Genomic DNA, 16,298 nt, shown 5'->3' with positions numbered 1-16,298 from the left:
ATAAACAAAGAGCAATCCTTTCCTAAAGCCCTTTGTGAGTCCCCCTAACTTTTCTGCAACAGTAGGAGAAATGCCAAAAATGCCAAAAAGCAGCTGATACAGTATTAAAGCCTTAGAGGCCAGACTTTCTCAGCTTTTAATTCAGCCAAAGACACTTAATACTTTTGGAAAAAAGGACAAATGATATTAAGGAAAATTATTTATACATGCTTTTTTTTTTCTTTTTTAGAGACAGAGTCTCACTCTGTCGCACAGGCTGGAGTGCCGTGGCACAATCATAGCTTGCTGTAACCTCAAACTCCTAGGTTCAAGCAATCTTCCCACCTCAGCCTCCCAACTAGCTGGGACTACAGGCACAGGCCCTCATGCTTGGCTTATTTTTTCATTTTTTTTTTTTTTTGTAGAGATGAAGTATCACTATATTGCCCACTCTGCTCTCCAACTCCTGGCCTCAAGGGATCCTCCCACCTCAGCCTCCCAAAGTACTGGGATTACAGGCTTAAGCCACTGCCCCTGGCCCTTACAAACACTTTAAATCTTATGTCCTCTTCCTCCTGAAATGCATAACAATAAAATACCTCACATTAAATATTATATTGCAGAGAGACTACCTCACCTCACCTCACATACCTTACTGGACATCTTTAGTGTGTCAATCTCTTCTCTCTGTTTAGATAATGTCTCATTCATGCTGCACAGGTGGTCACTCATCATACTTAACTGATCCTCGTAACTCCTCTTGGTAGTTGTCAGCTCATCCTAAATAGCAAAGAAAAAGACAAAAATCAACATCCCACGAGTCGTACCACTCTGAAGCTTTTTTAATTCACAAAAGAAAAATGTGGAGTAGGGAAATTATAGTTTCCCAATAATTTACTGTATATTTCAAAATAGCTACAAAAGAAGAATTATTATGTTCCCAACACAAAGATAAATGTTTGAGGTGGTGGACCTCCAAATGACCCTGATTTGATCATTACACACTGTACAAAGGTATCAAAATAATCAAAATACCATGTCCCCCCCAAACATGTACAACTATTTACATCAATTTTTTAAAAAAATTCTTTTACTTGTAAAAGCAACCTATAAAGATGGTCTATCTGATCAATTGACATGCAGCTTAAGGCCCAGGCCTAACAAGAGAACAAAGTTAAAAGAAATGGCAACAAGTTTTTCTCAGCCTCCAAAGTAGATTCATAATTTCTTTGCAAAAATTTAAGGGTTTCTTTCTATGCCAGGTATAAAATTGTAAGAAAAGCCATATGGCCTCATTATCTTTCCAAATTCCCTCAGGTTTTGCTGAGCCATAGGTGAGGCCTACAACACATTGCCTCCATCCTATGCCTCGATGGCCTACAGCCCTCCCGGCAGCACCGTCCCTGAAAGAAGCACCCTTCATCTCTCTTCCCATTTCTCATGCTCTCTTCTGCTGCCTAAAATCTAATCCTGTGTGCCTAATTAATCTGATAAATGAATCTAAAGCAAAGAGGAAGTGGGTGTTGCTGTAGTGCTGTGTTTTTTCCTTGCCTGGCATCATGTTTTTATTAGCAGAGGCTTTCTGAAAACAAAGATTTAAAACCAGGCAGTGAGTAAGAAGGAATGTTATAGCCCCACCTTTCAGTTTAGATCCGTTTTATGCAACAGGAAAGAAAAGGAACAGAGTACTATGTACAGAACAAGCCTACAGCTCACCATGATGGGTATGTACAAGGAAGGGGAAAGAAAAATTCTGGGTAAATAAGTATTATTTAAGCAAAAGCCGACTATAAAATGATTTACAATTAGAATCAAGTCAGAGAAACAATACAACTACTTTTTGCCTAACATAAGTAAGATGTTATTTTTAAATGAATCAGAAATACAGTGGTTATCTTAAAAAGCATATCTAGAGATCAAATGCCTTTGGAAAAGAAATGCTGCTTTGCTACCAAAGAACTTTCAATGAAAAAACATTAAAACCATTCAGGTAACACTTAACTCACCTGAAGTCTGCTGATGTTCTGACTGGCAAGTTTCATTTCTTCTGTCAATGCTTCCTTAGACTTTTCAGCCAAGGCCAGTCTTTTAGACAGTGCTCGGCACTGTAAAATCAGAAAACATTCCATTACTAGAGGGAGCACTTTCTAAAACCAAATTTGCTTCGGGAAAGTTTGTTAAAAACACTTCTCAAAGCCAAAGCTACTCATTCATTCCACAAATAATCTGTTGAATACCTATAGGCATTGTGTCACACATCAGAGTACACCTAAGAAAGAAGTGGCCCCCAGCTTTGTCATTTCAGTAAGGGGAAAAAAGTCTACCAACTTAAGATCAATGTTTTTTTCTTCACTCTAGCCTGATGACCAGTGGTTATATATAATACATAAGAACTTTCTTTTTTTTTCTTTTTTTGAGACGGAGTCTTGCTCTGTTGCCCAGGCTGGGGTGCAGTGGCATGATCTTGGCTCACTGCAACCTCCACCTCCCGGGTTCAAGTGATCCTCCTGCCTCAGCTTCCCGAGTAGCTGGGATTACAGGCATGCACCACCACACCCAGCTAAGTTTTGTATTTTTAGTAGAGACGGGTTTCACTATGTTGTCCAGGCTGGTCTCAAACCCCTGACCTCAAGTGATCTGCCCACCTCAGCCTCCCAAAGTGCTGGGATTACAGGTGTGAGCCACAGCACCCGTTCTTTACATAAGAACTTTCTAGATTTATCTAGAATTCATTTATATTTATACTAGATAAAAAGAAAAGTGATTATTACAAAAGTTATCAGGAGCTTCTGACCACGCACTATGGATCCTAAGGTACTTTTCTTGTGTTTTAAGTCCTTCATTAGAGACCACATTATAGGAGCAATAAAAGCTTTACCATCCTACCCTACAGATTATGCGCTACTTACAAGGGAAAAAATGAGCACAAGATTGCAAAAATTCCAGGCTGCTTTCTTTAGGGGTTCTACCAATCCTACTCTATCCAGAGAGTGTGTAGATCAAAACGATAAAAGAAAAATCCTATTTCACAATATTGTTCAAAGAGGGTATGAAATTAAAAGGCTCACTAAACTTTCTGATAAGGTTACTGACAAGGAGAATCTGTTGAAACACATGCAAATGCTATGTCAACATAAGGCGCTCAGAGCAGTAAAGTCATGTGGGAGGGGGGAGGTCACCACTTCCTGTTTACCAATAAGGAAAAAGTAGGACAATTTAAAAATTCTTGAATCACAATTGCACAGAAGATATTTACTAAAATAACTAAATGTCTTGGAAATCAAACAGCCTAAAAAAAATTCCTCAGCTACTTATTTCATTTCTCACAAAATTTTAGGGCAGTTCAGCCAACCAAGTCAACCGCCTCCTATTAACCAAACATCTATTCTGTGCTCAGCAATGAACCTGACAAAGAGGAATATAGGCATGCAAGGCACAGGTCCTTGTGAAAAGGACAATCAAGTCTGAGACACTAACTCAGAACCAAACAATGAGGATCCATGCCTGCTGGACTGCCGGCTTAGTGATTCAGCATTTCCACTGCTAGCCATTCAGTTTGCTGTCCTCCCCCTTTCCTGCATTCCAACAAGCTGTCACTACTGATCAGCTTATCAAACATGTATTCGATGGCTGCTTGTGAACAACACTGAGCTAAGCACACAATTTATTTTAGCAGGAAAAAGATGCAAAGCCCCTCTTCACTTTTAGCAACTGGCCTCCTATCAACCTCTTCAACTCTAGTATAAGAGAAAATCAAAAAGTCAGGTCTCAATAAAGGGTTTATCTTTCCTTTTTCAATTTAACAACGTTAAGCATTATAATCATCTATCTGCCATCCATAACTGACTTTTTAATATAAAGTTTCAAGTCAGAGATCTTGAAGGCATTCTTTTATGTTGAGCAGCATCCATTCTACCTTACCATTTGTTTCCTACTCCTTGGTATCTCTACTTTCTCTCTTCATTTGCCCCCTTAATTCTATGAATTGTGTATAATTTTATAGATGATACTGCATAGTGCAATAACTTTTTTTTTTTTTTTAAAGGCAGAGTTGTGGCTGGGGGTGGTAGCTCATGCCTGTAATCCCAGCACTTTGGGAGGCTGAGGCAGGCAGATCACCTGAGGTCAGGAGTTCAAGACCAGCCTGGCCAACATGGTGAAACTCCATCTCTACAAAAATACAAAAATTAGCCAGGCATGATGGCGGGTGCCTGTAATCCCAGCTACTCAGGAGGCTGGGGCGGGAGAATCGCTCGAACCCAGGAGGCGGAGGTTGTACTGAGCCAAGACCGTGCCACTGCACTGTAGCCTGAGCAACATAGCAAGACTCCACCTCAAAAAAAAAAAAAAAAAAAAAAAAAAAAAAAAAAGGCAGAGCCTCACTCAAATCAGTCTTATATTTATTGAAATAAAGATTTTTAGTTGGTATACAGACTAGTCAATATGAACTCCGGGCCAGGCGAGGTGGCTCACACCTGTAATCCCAGCACTTTGGGAGGTCGAGGCCAGCGGATCATGAGATCAGAAGATCGATACCATTCTGGCTAACACGGTGAAACCCCGTCTCTACTAAAAATACAAAAAATTAGCTGGGCGTGGTGGTACACACCCATAGTCCCAGCTACTTGGGACACTGACTTCTCTCTTACAGTGAACAGCATGAAAACAGGACAGTGTCCTAACTCCTGCAGGGGTTAGGAAAAAAACCACCAATCTAATTAAATCTACACTCACCTCGGCATAAAAATGCACTGACTTACTGTCAGCCAGCTGCAACTGAGACGTAAGTTCCACTATCCTTGCCATGTAGTGATTTTTAATTAAGTCTTCACGAGATTCCACATCTGGAACCTAAATAGAACACAAATACACATAAATAAACAAGTACCAGTGAGATGAAGCATTTCTAGAAAAAAAAAAAAAAAAAGACAACATTTTGTACATTCTCACTTGAACTTTGATGGGGAATCACTGTTTTCCTACCCCCTCGAAGAAACTTCAGACATAGCAGGGAAGTGTATATTCCAAATTTCTTTTATTTAGCATCTTTCTATTTCAGAATGAAGTTATGGCTTCAAGAAAACAGAACTGAAGTAATGGGAAGCCCACTGGAACCCTGCCCCTCCATCCAGCTTTTATTAGCCACAAAACTGACTTTTTTTTTTTTTTTTTTTTGAGGCAGAGTCTCACTCCGTCACCAGGCTGGAGTGCAGTGGCGCAGTCTTGGCTCACTGCAAGCTCCGCCTCCCAGGTTCACGCCATTCTCCTGCCTCAGCCTCCTGCGTAGCTGGGACCACAGGCGCCCGCCACCACGCCCAGCTAATTTTTTATATTTTTTAGTAGAGACGGGGTTTCACCGTGTTAGGCAGGATGGTCTCGATCTCCTGACCTTGTGATCCGCCTGCCTTGGCCTCCCAAAGTGCTGGGATTACAGGCGTGAGCCACCGCGCCCACCCAACATACTAACAAATTAAACTATTTCTATATTGAACAGTTTGTGGCCTTTGTCCCAGACTGGTATTTCTACTAGTTACTCAAACAATGACACCCTGTTGAGTTTAGTTTAAAAATACACGCAGAAGTTCATGATTATCTATATTACAAGAATAAATACAGAAATCAAAGAATCTTCCAGCTTACTTGAACTATATTAACCAGTTTGCCATACTGAGTGGTAAGTTGGATGACTTCAGTGTTTATTTATTTATAAAGTTACATCTTAAAGTGGCCAGGCACAGTGGCTCACGCCTGTAATCCCAGCACTTTGGGAGGCCGAGGCAGATGGATCACCTGAACTCAGGAGTTTGAGACCAGCCTGGCCAACATGGCGAAACCCTGTCTCTACTAGAAGTACAAAAATTAGCTGGACATGGTGACATGCGCCTGAAGTCCCAGCTACCTGCGAGGCTCAGGCAGGAGAATAACTTGTACCCGGAGGCAGAGGTTGCAGTAAGCTGAGATCATGCCACTGCACTTCAGTATGGGCAATATAATGAGACTCTGTCTCTAAATAAATAAATAAATAAAGTTACATCTTAGAATATTTCAAAATTCAAAAGTGCAAACCTATCTGACAGGCCAAATCTGACCTGGGTTCACTTGCTTTGTGGGCAAGAAACAGCTACCAAGTACACTGTACTTGGTCAAGGCCCTAGATAGCCCTTGCTAAGCCCTGCTTTCCTGGCTGCCCACTGCGAGGACTAACACGGCTCTCAGCCTCATGTAGTATGCCAGCAAATGAAGGCCCAAGCAGGAGCCACACCTTGTCAAATCTCCATGGCAAGTCACTCAATAAGGCAATTACAAAAACAGGCTATAATTTGTTGGTGACCATCAAAACAGAACCAGAGAAAAGCTACATGGATCCATACACGAAGGTGGAAAACACTGGCTCCACATTTGCTAGAAGTGTCAGGAAAAAACAACAACAACAATTAGACAAAGATGGCTTTTGCAGGACTTTGTCAACAAACATGCTGCCAGATATTTACTAACAAACAACATGATGACAAGCACATGTTACCTCACTGTCAGATGTCCTGGTTAAAGTCCCAATCTAGAACATAAGGGGAAAAATCTTTTAGAACAGAATGTGTACATTTCAAGCACAATAGATCAAACGCTTTTAATATTTTCTCCTCTCCGTTCACAGAGCATTGAGGGTACAGAACTAGAAGATCATCCTTGGACTGTCTTTTACTACAAGGACATGAAGATAGGTAGCTGCATTTACTATTTCTGCCATGAGGCAGTAACCAATAATGATCATCACCAAATCTTCTATCAAAATGCTGATTAGCCATTCTCACTGAAACCCAACAAATCATCTAGGAGAGAAGAGAAGATCAGCTTTTAACCACAACTTGCCATTTCTACACCTATTCCCAAAGCAGTAGCCAAGAAGGGGTAAAGACGTTTTTACGGTGACCATAATAATTAAACATTCCAAACAGAAAATGCAAATAATAAACACTCTAGTTGAAAGCTCAAAAGGAGAATATACTTTTGATATAGTTATTATGACATGAGTAAGCATAAATTTCAGATTTAAATTAATGAAAACAAAAATGTAATTTTAAACACATTAAAATGCTACTAGATTTTTTTCTTTCTAATTTTTTTTTTAGACACAAGGTCTCCCTCTGTCACCCAGGCTGCATTACATTGGTGCAATCATAGCTTACTGCAGCGTCAAATTCCTGGGCTCAAGAGATCCTCCGTCTCCAGCCTCCTGAGTAGCTGAGATTACAGGCATGAGTCACCATGCCTGGCTGCTGCTAGATTTTTTAAAAGTTTGTTTCTACAGTTTAAGATTTCAAAAACAGATGGTCATGATTTCTGAATTCTGGTTATTGTTCAAGGTGGTGGGGCATGTGCTTGGGCACAATGACAAGGAAACTACTGGAAACTCAGTGTCAATGGATTCTGTCAATAAGATATTACACTCAATGAACAGTTTTTTTTTGTTTGTTTGTTTCTGAGACAGAGTCTCACCCTGTTGCCCAGGCTGGAGTGCAATGGTGCGACCGAGGCTCACTGCAACCTCCACCTCCCGGGTTCAAGCAATTCTCCCGCCTCAGCCTCCCGAGTAGTGGGGATTACAGGTGCACGCCACCACGCCCAGCTAATTTTTTGTATCTTTAGTAGAGGCAGGTTTCACCATGTTGGCCAGGCTGGTCTTGAACTCCTGACCTCGTGATCTGCCTGCCTCACCCTCCCAAAGTGCTGGGATTACAGGCAAGAGCCACCGCACCCAGTCAATAGACAGTTTTAATGTATTCTAAATAATTTCCTCTGGAGTATTGTTCTGAACACTGAGAGTATATCAACTGAATGTGTACTAATGAATGTTATGCCCACCTGGCTGTAAAAGAGTCTTTGATAAGAACTTTTAAAATAGAAGAGCCATAATTTTTCTACTTTATGAAGTAGAAGTAGCAATTACTCTCTTTTAGTGAAAAATTGCTTGGAATAATACTCCAATCATTTAATTTTACATATTCAAATATGACTGCAGTTTATAAAATAAACTGCGAGGAAACATCTATTCCACCTGCTCATCCTCACCCCCTTACTCCCGGGTTATGATTTGAAAATGGGTACAGCACCAAGTCCTTCAAAGGAATGGTACTGTATAAATGCAAGGAAAACTTTTTTTTTTTTTTTTGAGACATAGTCTCGCCCTTTTGCCCAGGCTGGAGTGCAATGGTGCGATCCTGACTCACTGCAACCTCCGCCTCCTGGGTTCAAGCAATTCTCTTGCCTCAGCCTCCCGAGTAGATGGGATTACAGGTGCCCACCACCACGCCCAGCTAATTTTTTTTTTTTTAATCTTTAGTAGAGATGGGGTTTCACCATGTTGGCCAGGCTGGTTTCGAACTCTTGACCTCATGATCCACCCGCCTCGGCCTCCCAAAGTGCTGGGATTACAGGCGTGAGCCACCGCGCCCGACAATGCAAGGAAAGCCTTTAACACAGATTACTTTAACATTTTCTCATATGATACTAACAATAGTATAAACTGATACAGTCCTTTTAAAAAATAATTTGGTAATAAAGATCAAGGAATTTGAAAATATTCATGCCTTCTGAAGTAGTAATTCCAACTCTGAGAATACATCCTGAGGTAATCATTTAACATGCAGAAATAACCTTATACATAAAAATGAGACATTATTTAAAATAGCATAAGTTATAACCAATATCTAATCATAGGTAAACTAAGGTATAATAGATATGGAATACTATGAAATCAGTAAGTTTCTACTGAGTTTCTTATAACAGGATGTTTATGTTTTAACATTATGCTAAAAGATTTGAAATTTTATGTAGTACAGTGTCAACTATATATGAAATTTAGTAGAAAAAAACGATAACATTGGTGGCTTGATTATTCAGGATAATGTCATTTTTATACTTAAAATATATGTTTAAAAATTCTATTAATTTAAGCAATGCTTTTCCATTCCGGCAAAAAACAGAAATGTATATTGTTCTGTGCTTTTACTTTAAGGCTATTGCTATCTTTTTTTATAATATATAATAGGTGGCTGAATATTCAAATTATAATACTAGGTATCTTGCTAAAAATAACAAGCATTTAACTCTTGAAATGTTACAGAGTTAGAAATAAGTTTCTAGGCTGGGCGCGGCAGCTCACACCTGTAATCCCAGCACTTTGGGAGGCCGAGGTGGGCGGATCACAAGGTCAGGAGATTGAGGCCATCCTGGCTAACAAAGTGAAACCCCGTCTCTACTAAAAATACAAAAAATTAGCCGGGCATGGTGGCAGGCGCCTGTAGTCCCAGCTACTTGGAAGCCTGAGGCAGGAGAATGGCGTGAACCCGGGAAGCGGAGCTTGCAGTGAGTGGAGATCGCACCACTGCACTCCAGCCTGGGCCACAGAGCGAGACTCCGTCTCAAAAAAAAAAAAAAAAAAAAAAGAAAAGTTTCTATCTGAGGTTACTTTTTCTGCCTCAAAGTGACTGAACCAAAGTAATCTCCCTGTAGGATGAGCTTCCTTTGTTAATCAATTAACACTGAAATGGGCACATACTTGCTCCCAACACCCAAGAGGAAGAAGACAGAAAAGACACAAAGACACACACACATACACAGCCACACAATTAGTTCCCTTAAGGTCACTTAAAGGGCATGGGGGTAAAAAGAAAGGCTGAAAGTAGAAACATCAAGGAAAGCAGAAAACTCCATCTCTTTTTATTTCTATTGTGCACTGTGTGCAAGGCAAGACTCCAGGTTATTTTCGGCAGAAATCTGCTGTTAGCAGTTAACCTGTCTTTTGTTATAGGAGTGCTGGCTGTGACCCTCATGATGGAGAGAAAAGGTATCAGGTCCTTTCCACCCCTACACTAACTAGTTGATTTAAATAGCAACTTCTAAAGTCACCAAACCCAACTAAGGTCATTATCACTCATGGCCCAATAGTGTTCAGTACTAAAGATTTTTCGTGTCCCTCCCTAGAAATTTTTTTCACTTACATATGTAAGAATAGCGTTTTCCATTGAAAATGTTCAAATAAAAAGATAATCCAAAACTTTCAGCAACTGACATTAACAACTCAAATATACCAGCATTGTGCTTCTTCAGCAGCACATGTACTAAAATTGGAACGATACAGAAATTAGCATGGTCCCTGCTCAAAAATGACCTGAAAATTCATGAAGCATTCCACGTTTTAAAATTATTAATTTATAAAGAAATATATATGCCAGTGTTACCAATTCCAGCACCTCAGTAAGGCAAGCAGTAAGCAAATGAGTTTATCTGATGTTTATTTGTTTTTTTTTTTTAGAGTCAAGGCCTCAATCTGTTGTCCAGGCTGGAGTACAGTGGCACAATGATAGCTCACTGCAGCCTCAGACTCCTGGGCTCAAAAATCCTCCTGCTTCAGCCTCTGGAGTAGCTGGGACAACAGGCGTGGGCTACCACACCTGGCTAACAAATGAGTTTATGTCGGCTATTCTGTTTTCTGACATGGATCAGACACAAGGCCATCTTGGTTAAGAGGGCAGGGCTTGGGATGAGACATCCCATCACTTATCAAGTGTGTGACTTCATGTGAGTTATTTCTCTTTGGTCCTTGGTTTCCTCAACTATGAAATGGAGTTATGACAGTACCTACAATCCTGTGTGAGGACTGACTGACTGACTAATACTTTGGAAAGTCCTTAGACCTGTGTCAGGCACACGATTTCTACAATTACAATGTCATTGTCAGCAGCACCCTCCCTGGTCTAGTCTGGCCACCACCAACTCTAAGAAGAAGGAAGGAATGGATACAGGCAATGGAGCTGGGGAGAAGAAATCAGACATAATGAACAGTCTGACCCCATCATTTGAGACAGACACTGAAGGAAAAATCTAAAGGCAAGGGAGTGGGGGCAGTTCTTAAATGCTATTTGGATGGATGTTGGAATTCTTTTGTTTGTTGAATGTCCCTCTCATTACCTCATTTATACACCGTAGCTAAATGCTAAACCACTGATATGGAGGTAAAAACAGTCATCTTGTCCCATCAGAGGCAACATGCAGGACTTGTGACTGGAACAAAGACTTGCCTTTGGTGAACACTACAGGATTGTCCTGTGAGTGTGGCGACCATTCAAGGTCACCATGACCATTGGTCATGAACATTCATGGTCAACAAACTAGGAAGGTATTCTTTTTGTTTCTTTGGGGTTTTTTTTTGTAGAGACAGAGTCTGGCTCTGTTGCCCAGGCTGGAGTGCAGTGGCATGATCTCAGCTCACTGCGACCTCCGCCTCCCAGGTTCAAGCAATTCTCCTGTCTCAGCCTCCCGAGTAGCTGAGACTACAGGCGCAGGCCGCCACGCCTGGCTAATTTCTTCTGTATTTTAGTAGAGATGGGGTTTCACCTTGTTGCCCAGGTCTCGAACTCCTGAGCTCAGGCAATCCACCCGCCTCGGCCTTCCAAAGTGCTAGGATTACAGGCATAAGCCACGCACCCAGCCCAAACTAGGAAGTTTTTATTTATTTATTGCATTTCTAAAAATTTTAATTGTTGTTGTTGTTTTTAGGTTTTATTTTTATTTTTAAATTGTTATTATTTTCTATTTGTTGCTTTTCTAAAAATTTTAATTCTTGGGTTTTTTCCCCCCATACCTCCCAGAACAAACAATGATTCTTTTTTCTCTTCTATATTTTATTATGAAAAATGTCAAACATGCAGAAAGGTTAGCGGTAAAAAGTATAGTAAACATCTGTATATCTAGTATCTAGATTCAATAATTGCTAGCATGCCTGTTTTGCTTTATTGATCTGTGCAGATATATTTTTTTGTAAACATGTGAGCGTAAGTTGCAGACATTTTGATACCTTACTCTAAGTACACTGAAATCCATCTCTAAAAAGTAAAGATATTCTCCTAAATAATAATATCATTACCATACCTAGGAAAATTCACAATCATCTGAGGTTCTGACACTGTTTAGATGCAATAGGGCCTAAAGATAAAATCTGGTTTGTATATTTAACTAGCAGGTATGCTCTGAATGAGGTGGAAGAACCATGACTTGCTCTTCAATAGCATCAGTGAGCTTCAGGAGTAAAGTCAGCAGAAAAGCACACACCTTAGGACAGGGTCTTCAAGAAGCACCATGGCTTTCAAGCTCCTCAAGCTTGTAAAAAAAATGTTTGTTAAAAAAAATACACCTAAAAGACTCCTTTGATTATTAGGGTTTTTCCTTCCTGATTTCTTTTTCTAGATTTTCCTAATTTTTTACAGTGAACAGAATAGTGTAATTAGAAAACATTTTTTAAAGTAACTTTAAATTCTATAACAGCAATATAAATGTTTTTCACTTTCTAAATCACTGTAATTATCAATAAGGCAAGAAATACAAAGTTGCAAGATAATGTGCCAACAATCTGCCTCATGAAAAAGAACCTGATGGGTTTCTACAGTATGTGTATATTATAAAGCTTTACACTCTCTAGGAATAGATCATAGAAAATTGGGTTAAAATTGTATTTGTGGTTATTTCTTTTTTATTATTACTTGTTTTTGTTTTATTTTACTTTTGGTAGACACAGGGTCTCACTATGCTGCCCAGCTGGTCTCAAAGTCCTGGGTTCAAGTGATTCACCCACCTCAGCTTCCCAAAGTGTTGGAGTTACAGGCATAAGCCATCACTCTCGGCTTCCTGTGGTTATTTCTATTAAAGAATTAGGCATTTGGTCCTTTGTTAGAAACATAATAACCCCATATTACAAATGTTTTTATGGAAAAACAGAATCATCTTAAATTTAACTTACTATATCTTTTCCAGGAACATAGTCCTCACCATGAGGAAGTCTCATGTAAAATCACAGGGAATTTAATGGTTACTTTTTGAAGGAGATATCCTGCTTACTAACCAGCATTCTTCTAGAGTACACGGATCACTCCTGTTATGAACTGATGTATAATTAAGATGGTTACTGTGGCCTGCGTGTTTGTGTCCCCCCCCACCCCCAATATCCTACGTTGAAACTCTAACCCCCAAGGTGATGGTATTAGGAGGTAGGGCTTTTGGGAAATAACCTAATAGGATTAATACCCTTACAAAAGAGACCCCAGAGAGCTCACCTGACCCTTCTGCCATGTGAGAACACCATGAAAATGCTGCTGTCTATGAACCAGGAAACAGACCCTAACCAGACAGTGAATCTCCCAGCACCTTAATCCTGAACGTCCCAGCCTCAAGAACTGGGAGAAATAAATTTCTGTGATTTACAAGATGCTCAGCTTATGGTATTTTGATATAGCAGCCTGAATGAACTAAGACAATGGTTAATGTTGAACATTAGATACTTACCAATTAGCATTTAAAAAAGAAAACTGAGGACAACCAAGAAGACACTTACTAGACTGGTGCTCTGAATGGGCTCCAACACAGCCTTAGCTGTGGCTTCATCCTGGCCAGCAGTATTTGACACAGCAGCATTTTCCTGGGCCAGCCCAACCAGCTGGGCACTACCTGTATTCTTCAGCTTATCTGCAATTCGCTGGTTTTCTTTCTCTAGCTTGATTTTGGCTAATTGTGCTTCCAACATCCAATGTTCTTTTTCCTGCTCCAGTTTAGAAATCTTTTCCAAACTCTGTTGAACCTTGAAAAGTAACAGAGTGTTGTATCTTAGAGACTAATACAGATAAACCTTAGTGGCCCAAAAACTATCTTACAGAATGTAAACCAAAACTACCCCACAGAGGTAAAAATATAATAATAAAGTTTGACCCTCGAATAGGAAGAGATTTATTAGACATGATACAAAAAGCACAACCATAAATCGAGAAATTAAACTATAGTGAGATAAAAAAAAAAACTCTACTCATTGAAAAACATCAAGAGTGAAAAGAAAACTCAGAATTGAATTAGAATCTGTAAAGCATTTATCCAACAGAGACCCAATAACTAGAACATACAAGGAATTTTTGCAAACCAATAAGATAGACAACTCAACAGAGAAGAAGGCAAAGAAAAAAAAACCCAACAAAAAACTTGAACAAGACTATAAACAAATTAAAAGGTATGCAATGCCACTAATTATCAAAGCACAGCAACTTAAACCATCCACTTAATTAAAATATAAAAAGCAGAGAATACAAAAATGGACATGTTTGTAAACAATTAGAACTATAGGTTGGTGCAGGCCAGGCACGGTGGCTCATGACTGTAATCCCAGCACTTTAGGAGGCCGAGGCGGGCTGATCACGAGGTCAGGAGATCGAGACCATCCTGGCTAACACAGTGAAACCCCATCTCTATTAAAAATACAAAAAATTAGCCAGGTGTGGCGGCGGGCGCCTGTAGTCCCAGCTACTCGGGAGGCTGAGGCAGGAGAATGGCGTGAACCCAGGAGGCGGAGTTTGCAGTGAGCCGAGATAGCGCCACTGCACTCCAGCCTGGGCGACAGAGTAAGACTCCGTCTCCAAAAAAAAAAAAAAAAATAGAACTATAGGTTGGTGCAAAAGTAATTTTGTAGTTTTGCCATTTATTTAAAACTAATATCAACAACCACAATTACTTTTGCACCAACCTAATACCATATACTGTGCTGAACACAAAAAGCCAGACCTGAAAAAGCATAATTGCATTTAATAAAAAGTTCAGTATCAGGGAAAAAAACTAATCTATAGTGCTAGAAGGCAGGAGAATGGTTACCTTTGGGGGAGAGGAGAGCAGTAACTGGAAATGGGCATGAGGAAGGCTTCTAAGGTCCTAATAATTTTTAAGGTAAACCTTTGCTATGAAAAACTCTCAAATCGTTTTTCCTCTGTTCTCACACTTTAACAATCAATACAGAAGACTTCTGTGACCCCAAAATATGTGGGGTATTTCCCCATCAACAAACAAGTAGTCAGTTTTGTTGTGGACATCAGCTGGGTGTCCTCCCATTTAATTCCACCACTATCTACATGGAGATAGTGTGAGATCCCACAGATTGTGAGCTCAGTTCCCAAAAATGCCTCCCCTGCAGACGGCAGTCACAAGTCTGGACCTTGAGAACTTGTGACTAACCGGCTTTAAATTGAGGTTCCCATGACTCCCTTTTTGAGTTTGATTAATTTGTTGGAGTGCCTCACAGAAGTCAGGGAAACATGTTTACTGGTTTATTACCAAGGATACAGATGAAGAGATTTAGAGTGAAGCAGAGGAAGGGGTGCAGACTTTCCATGTCCTCCCTGGGCATGCCACCCTCCAAGAGCCTCTATGTGTTCAGCTATTCAGAAGCTCCCAAACCCTGCCCTCTTGGGCTTTTCATGGAGACTGCACTGGATAGGCATGATTGACAACCATGAAGAAATGTGACTGGACCTAAATCCAACAAGCTCCACTGGGCGCAATGGCTCACGACTGTAATCCCAGCACTTTGGGAGGCCAAGGCAGGGGATCACTTGAGGTCAGGAGTTCAAGACCAGCCTGGCCAATGTGGCGAAACCCTGTCTATACTAAAAATACAAAAACTAGCCGGGCATGGTGGTATGCACCTGTAATCCCAGCGACTCTGGAGGCTGAGGCAGGACAATCGCTTGAACCCAGGAGGCAGAGGTTGCAGCAAGCTGAGATCACAACACTGCACTCCAGCCTAGGTGACACAGTGAGACTCCATCTCAAAAAAAAAAAAAAACCCAAAACCCAATAAGCCCTGTCTTGTTTAGATTCTTCTCTGTACAGCAGCATTTCTCCCTCTAGGGTATGGGGCAACACCTCTAGAATGAGGGTCTTATGCCCTATAATGCTGTAAAGTCAGATTAGAGTCCTGCCCTAGGCAAGTTAAAAGAGGGCAAGAGAAGATCAGAGAGAGAGATTCCATTTACTGTAACAAGGACTATGGGAGTTACCAGCCACCAACTGTGGACAAATATATACATATTTTTTTTTTCCTTTTTTTCTGAAAAAGACAGTGCCTCCCACTCCCACCCACTCCCTAAACTCAACTGACCACTAAATATTGCACATTTTTCATTCTTGCTCCTTTAAGAAATAAAAATAACTCAGAGTCACTAGCTCTTGCCCCCTCTTATACTTTGGTATTTCAGACATTTAAATCTAGCACCTAAAAAGAAAGAATTAATCATCATGGCCAAAGTGTGTTGATATTACTTTAGTTCCAATTATACCACCAACTGAATCAAGATGACTTAGAGTGTCAACACATGTTTTTCAACAAATTATGTCTATTTGCTTTTTAGTATGTATTAAACAATTCATTTCACATGTTTATTTATGCAGACTTTTGAATCATTCTACGTATCTTAAAAACTTTCTATGGGGGATTTAACATTTCTGTTCTTTAA

General features: G+C 40.2%; 1 protein-coding gene and 1 pseudogene across 5 annotated transcripts in view, besides 2 other annotated features; one reads left to right on the top strand and one right to left on the bottom strand.

Annotated features, from left to right (window-relative positions):
* Positions 1-16,298, bottom strand: part of PPP1R21 (protein phosphatase 1 regulatory subunit 21) — a 74,621-nt gene that overhangs the window by 3,288 nt on the left and 55,035 nt on the right. For 2 of the 5 annotated variants that reach the window (NR_024188.3, NM_001135629.3), the window contains exons 17-21: positions 13,364-13,606; positions 6,503-6,535; positions 4,714-4,830; positions 1,986-2,084; positions 631-759 (exon numbers count right to left, since the gene is read on the bottom strand). Coding sequence is in view for 3 of the 5 variants with exons in the window: in NM_001135629.3 (NP_001129101.1) it covers positions 631-759; positions 1,986-2,084; positions 4,714-4,830; positions 6,503-6,535; positions 13,364-13,606 (621 nt within the window). In the remaining 2 variants the exon portion in view is untranslated. Of the gene's footprint in view, positions 1-630; positions 760-1,985; positions 2,085-4,713; positions 4,831-6,241; positions 6,382-6,502; positions 6,536-13,363; positions 13,607-16,298 lie in introns of those variants that run through there. The other 3 variants (NM_152994.5, NM_001193475.2, XR_007069367.1) reach the window with 2 other exon arrangements.
* Positions 2,732-3,506: an enhancer, noted in NCBI's record as "OCT4-NANOG-H3K27ac-H3K4me1 hESC enhancer chr2:48735732-48736506 (GRCh37/hg19 assembly coordinates)". NCBI's record gives its function as "activates a minimal SCP1, AML or CMV promoter by ChIP-STARR-seq in naive and primed H9 embryonic stem cells {active_cell/tissue: H9 hESC(naive and primed)}" and the evidence as "EXISTENCE:reporter gene assay evidence [ECO:0000049][PMID:30033119]".
* Positions 3,507-4,281: an enhancer, noted in NCBI's record as "OCT4-NANOG-H3K27ac-H3K4me1 hESC enhancer chr2:48734957-48735731 (GRCh37/hg19 assembly coordinates)". NCBI's record gives its function as "activates a minimal SCP1, AML or CMV promoter by ChIP-STARR-seq in naive and primed H9 embryonic stem cells {active_cell/tissue: H9 hESC(naive and primed)}" and the evidence as "EXISTENCE:reporter gene assay evidence [ECO:0000049][PMID:30033119]".
* Positions 10,075-10,177, top strand: RNU6-282P (RNA, U6 small nuclear 282, pseudogene; annotated as a pseudogene).

The sequence above is a fragment of the Homo sapiens genome, chromosome 2 (genome assembly GCF_000001405.40).
Source record: "Homo sapiens chromosome 2, GRCh38.p14 Primary Assembly".
Classification (NCBI taxonomy): Eukaryota; Metazoa; Chordata; class Mammalia; order Primates; family Hominidae; genus Homo; species Homo sapiens.
Note: the sequence above shows the minus strand (reverse complement) of the source record. Positions and strands in the feature narration are given on the sequence as shown.